The sequence below is a fragment of the Homo sapiens genome, chromosome 7 (assembly GCF_000001405.40).
Source record: "Homo sapiens chromosome 7, GRCh38.p14 Primary Assembly".
Classification (NCBI taxonomy): Eukaryota; Metazoa; Chordata; class Mammalia; order Primates; family Hominidae; genus Homo; species Homo sapiens.
Genome location: NC_000007.14, coordinates 45236753 through 45242533, shown reverse-complemented (window position 1 = coordinate 45242533; position 5781 = coordinate 45236753). Strand labels below are relative to the sequence as shown.

Genomic DNA, 5781 nt, shown 5'->3' with positions numbered 1-5781 from the left:
TGGCTCTGATCTCTGCTCAGCTTGCAAAGCCTTTGCTCTGTCTTACATACGCACAGCTCAGAGGTGAGCCCTGGACTGCAGCCCTCCACAGAGGTGAGGGACCCTCCTGCCAGGGCTCCTTTTCCTGGTTTGGCTGAGTGGAGAGGGCAGGGTTTCTTTCAGAGCTGTAACTGCTAACATCAGCTCAGCACAAAGCTCCACAGCTCCAGCAAAGAGGGAGAGCAAAGATCTTCCGCATTCATGGGAACTAGAGGCCCTATCCTTCTTCCTTTGGCTGGAAAGACGGGGTTTCTGTTGGAGTTTTGGTCTCTGCTGCCACTGCACATTTCTGCACCTGGAACCAGCCCTTGGGTTCAGAATGAGAGAGCAAAGAAAAAAACATGGGGAACTAACTCACTCTGTGGGTCTCTAAATCAAGTTTTGACTATTCCACATTCAGTGGCTTTGTTTACTTCTCTGAGTCCTTGGGTAATTGTACTTTTATTTTGCCAGTGGTTTCTGTTGCAATCAGCATCATAGGGAGGCAGTGGTGGGGCCTCACCAGCTAGGTCCAACCAGGAACCCCAGCAAGTGGCCATTCAGGCAGGCTCCATGGTGATTCGAGGTGGCTGAGTGGACAACGAGGGAAGGGGTTTGCTGTGCTCAACAGAGAGACAAGCAAGGCACCTGCTGGGGCCAAACAGCACTCAGAGACTGAAGGGAGACGGAAGAAAAAGCCACAGGGCAAGCTTCTCAGAAGGCGGCTCCACACCCCTCCTCCATCCTGCTCACTCCCAGAGCCATCCTTAATGTGTGGACCCCAGTTCTCAAGGCATGGGGTGCCCCACCTGCTCTCCATGCCAGGGTGTCAGGCACCTCCAGGCAAAATTCCTTCCCCGCCCCTGCTCCCTTAAAGTAACTTCTTTTGTTCCTCCAAGGGCTTGGCCCACTGGTCACTTGCCACCAGGGATCACCAGGATCCACTTCGCCCCATGCTGGCCCTTATAACCATTTCCCCGGCAAAGACCCAAGAGCAAGTCTTTCCATGTCCCTGGAGTACAATCAAAGACTGGAAGCTCCCTTCCCCTCCACCGCCCTTGGGCAGGGTGTGGCCCTCCTATCAACTCTGCTGAATCATCCCTGCCCCATCCACACCACCTGGCCTCCACCTCGCACTTCTGCCTGCCTTCTCAGGGATGCTCCTTCCCCGACGGCTGGACCCACTCCCTCCCTAAGGCTGCTCTCTCTTCACCTTCTGTTCACACATGCCTTGAACACTCTCTATCCCTGCCTGCCCCTCCAAGCCCATCAGCATGGTCTGATCTCCAAGCTCACCTCTCTGTTCAAGCATCCTTGGTGGTCTTCTTCTTACCAGCAAGCTCCAAACCTGTCCACATGGTCTGGTCTCTGTACTCTCCTCTCAGCTCCAGCCCCTCTGGGACACCCTCTCTTCCCTGGGCATCCCACCTGGGCATGGGGAGACTCTCCGAGGGTCCTTGCTCCTGTCAGGCTCACCCCAGCCCTGCTGCTGGGGCTGCCCGAGTGCCATTTCAGTCATGAGCCTTGCTCACCTGGATGGTGGAATTCTATTTCACGTCCTGAATTGTTCACACTGCCATCGCATCATGTGTACTTTATTATCTGCTTTGTTTAAGGACAAATCTTGGGAAGAAAGATAAATTAAGAGGTAAAGACTAGAAACCAATAAGCTTAGTGTCAAAGATATTAATTTTTCCCAGAAATAAGACTTGGGAGGGATTATCCAATGCCATTTTCCCGCTATCATAGGAAGGCAGGCTGTCTCCCCTAGTGAATGCACTTACCCTTCCCCCACGTTGCTCCCCTTAATTGCTGGGGGACATTCTCATTTAATAATTTTTACTCTGGTGGTTTGCATATCTCTAGAAAACTGCAGCTGAAATAATGAGATAAACAAATGAATTTCAGTGAGGTGGGGCAGGGGAGTGTCTCTCTAATTCTGAACCAAGCGGAAGGGGAGACTTCCTTTCCTAACTCAGAAAAAAACTCTTAAATGGAATGTTGTATAAATTGTAGAAACCTTTTTTAAAAACAAGCTAGCAGGAAACTGAGGAAGTTTTGCTTTTAATAAAATAGATATAACAATAGAGCAAATAACATTTATATCTACTGGAAAACCGCTAAGGGCGGGGCCCCCAGGAAATGAGACAGGAGTTGACAGAGACAGCCTTGGGCCCAGGAGTCCCGCCCAGTGAGGGGTAGTGGCGGCTGCACTTAGATGCGATTATTGTGCTTACATAGTGAAGGAATGTTTAAGTAATAATTTTGTAATAATTTTGAAATAATATTGACTAACACCCAACTAGACCTCCTCCTCCATAAATTACTATATTTAAAGAGCTCACAACCAAATATGAGAACATGACTTTTCAACATTTTGAAATTCACTCCTTAAAAAATAAAAATAAGAAAACATCTTGACTTCTAAAAATATGAATAAAAGAACTATTGACTTTATATTTTGTGTGTGCAAAAGGAAATTTTCTTGTGAATATCAAAGAAACAAAATATTTTCCCAGCAGTGCTTGGACTATATCTTCTTAAGCAAAGAAAAAAGAGAGTATACATTAGCAGTGCAAGGGGGCCAATTTAAGAAAGAAGTTGAATTGTGCACAAAAAGGTTGTCCACTTTACACTTCCCTCTAGAAGTTAAGACGTGTTCTTCCCTGCCTGGCATCCCCAGTGCCTGTGTCCCGAGGGCTGACCCCATCCCCTAGCTCAGGGCTGTGCCCACCATGAACTCCCTTCACTCTGAATGGTGGCTGACTCAGGGATGAGCCTGTAGCCCGTCCGTGGCAACTGGCACCACTCCCAGACTCTTGGTGAAGCTGTCAGGCAGGAGAACCCACTCCACGGGAATGAGTAACCAATGGAATGTATCTCTTCTGAGATGCTGAAGGCATATTTGCCCAGAAGAGGAGGCTCAACCAGGCCAGGGCGCTGAGGGGGCTAGACCAGTCCCCATGATGTTCCCAGCAGCAAGACACAGCTGGGCCCACAGTTCACTTTCAGCAAAAAAGGTTGTTCCCTGTGGACTTGTTCCAGGAACAAAACTGAGTCCGGCTGAGTTTTCTTATGGCCCAGTAATGAGAAGCAGACAAACTAGGAAAGAAGGGAATTTATTGCTGTAACCAGCTATAGGGAGAAGGCCAGAGATAATTCCACCAGACCAACTCAAAGTGTTACAATTTTCTTAGTGCTTATACAGGTTAGGGTCATGTGCCTATGAGCGGTATCACATTTGCCTAAGTCTACAGGTAACTAATTTTGTTTTAACTAGAAGGTCAGAGGCCAAAAAAAAAATGCTTTCTAAGTCTGATCAGGCTGTGAGGGCCCTAGTACCTTCAAGGCCTGTCTCCTAAATTCTAATTAGTGAGGACTGTGGTACCGGAGTGATTATTTCTAGCTATCTCATTTACAGCTTGGTCAGGACAGCTGCCTTCAATTCTCTAATAAATCTATTTAAACAGCTGCCTGTGTTCCCTTGACTCATCTCAGATTTTGCCGACCTGAGACAGGTCCTGGCACGAGGAATGGAAGGCTGTCTCCGTTATTTTGACTTGCTCCAGGTTAGGGAAAAGTCTGTGCAAGGCTCCTACTGACCATATGTTTCCTTTCTAGCTTTGATGTCTGGGCATCAGTTTCCCCAGGTTTAATTATTTGCTCAATGTTAAGGCAGTGCTGTGGAAATTTGTCTGTGTAACTGTCGGAGAATTGGCCTGCCACAGACCGACACCTCCCGAGAGCCTATTTACAGTGGAACCTGTGGGGGGTGAATTTTTCATGGAGCCTCAAAGGTAGAGAGAAGAGAGAGCCAGGGCAGAGGAGAGAAATGTGCAGCAACGATGGGGAGAAACCTAAAGAACAAAGTCTGAAATCACAAATGCAGGTCACTGCAAATCCAAATTCGATTCTTTTCAGTCCTCATGAACAATGAATGCATAGTTTGAAACAAAAATGGAAATACTGGATAAATACAGCTAGAAGGTAGAAGGTAGGTAGGCAGGTAGATATGTCAACCTAAATAACAGAAAAAGTCTTTAAAAGAAAAGATATTTGAAAGACCAGAACTCCTTAGTGAAATGATTTGAATAGTGGAAGAGCCTAAGGAATGACTAGCAAGGATGGACATCAGAAATGGGCATGAGCACGGGACAGTGGGTGAACTCGGTGGGAAAAGAGCAGATGTGTGTCTGTCGGGCCTCATGGAGGGACTCCTTGGTGCCTGATGGAGAACTGGTCTGCTCGGAAGAACACCTTGTTCTTAAAGAAGAGACAACAGAGAAGGCTGAAGGAGACCCAGGGAGCAGTTGGGCACAGCCAAAGCTGACAGCTGTGATTACCTGGAGGGCTCAGAGAGGAGGAGCGTCATCCAAATGGGTGGTGGGCGTGGTTGCCTTCCAAGCCTCTCCCACCTGGGCATCCAACTCTCAGGAACATCTGACAAAAACGATGTGTGCTGGAGCATGCCATGTGGGGCCAGACCTCAACAAATGGGATATCTGAGGACCAGCTGACAGCTCTCCAGACCACTTTGCCCTCTGAAAGGCCAGGAGCTGAGTCACCCAGCACGGTGACCTCCTGGGTCGGGTGAGGCCGGCAGTAGAGGAGCAGAGCCACACTCCTCCACCAGGCTCCAATTTCTGTGTCGCTGCAGCCACACGAGAGGCTACGGTAACAAGGGGTAGAACTCTCCTTCCTGTAACAATAATTTCTTAAGGACAACAATGCTGTTTTTACTTCTTCCCAAATACAGAAGCAAATTGATTTTTACTGTGTGAGACCTTAAACTTTGTTACTGAATTTGTAAACGCATGACGGGAAATGATTGAGACTCACCTTGAAATGTACAACCTTTTATCACGTAGAAAAAAAGAAAGGATGCTGAAAAATAAAGCTGTGAGTTTAGACTCTGATACTCACCAGCTGGGACACCAGAGTCTCTCTGAGCCTGTTTCCCTACCGACCTTGAGTTGATTGGAGTCACATGAATAAATGAAGGTGCTTGTGATTCATTTAAAAAATCTATAGCGATGATGCTAGCTATTATTACTTCTAGTAAAATCTATAACATCAGCAATACCTTTTTACAAAATGGCTTACATTTTTTTTCTTTGTGTACATTTAAGGGGTACTGGTGCAATTTTATTACATGCACATATTACATGTAGTGAAGTCCTAGCTTTTAGTGTATCTATCACCAAATAATGTACATTGTACCCACTAAGTAATTTCTCATCACACTCCCCACTTCTACCTCCTTACCCTTTATAAGATTTATAATACTTATTATAAAATATTTTAAAAATACGAAAGGACACAAAGAGAAAAAAACAATTTTGCCATCCAATGTGTTATGAACTAAATGTCTCGTGTCCCCCAAAATTTATATGTTGTAGCTCCAACCCCTAAAGTAACTGTATATGGAGAGAGGGCTTTTAAGGGGTAATTAAGATTAAATGAGATCATAAGAGTGGGGCCTTGATCCAATAGGATTAGTGTCCTCATAAGAAGAGACACCATGAGCTTGTGCTCTTGCTTTCTCTCCATGATGTGAGGACAGACACAATGAGAAGGCAGCTGTCTGCAAGCCAGCATGAGAGCCCTCGCCAGGAACTGATTCAGAGGTCACCTTGACCTTGGAATTCCAATCTCCAGAACTGTGAGAAATAATTGTCTGCTGTTTAAGCCTCCCAGTCTGTGGTATTTTGTTATGGGTAGTTGAGCTGACTAATATACAATAATAGTTACCATGATTCCAAA

General features: G+C 46.2%; 2 annotated features.

The window, feature by feature from the left end:
- Nucleotides 313-812: an enhancer, noted in NCBI's record as "H3K4me1 hESC enhancer chr7:45281321-45281820 (GRCh37/hg19 assembly coordinates)". NCBI's record gives its function as "activates a minimal SCP1, AML or CMV promoter by ChIP-STARR-seq in naive H9 embryonic stem cells {active_cell/tissue: H9 hESC(naive)}" and the evidence as "EXISTENCE:reporter gene assay evidence [ECO:0000049][PMID:30033119]".
- Nucleotides 813-1314: an enhancer, noted in NCBI's record as "H3K4me1 hESC enhancer chr7:45280819-45281320 (GRCh37/hg19 assembly coordinates)". NCBI's record gives its function as "activates a minimal SCP1, AML or CMV promoter by ChIP-STARR-seq in naive H9 embryonic stem cells {active_cell/tissue: H9 hESC(naive)}" and the evidence as "EXISTENCE:reporter gene assay evidence [ECO:0000049][PMID:30033119]".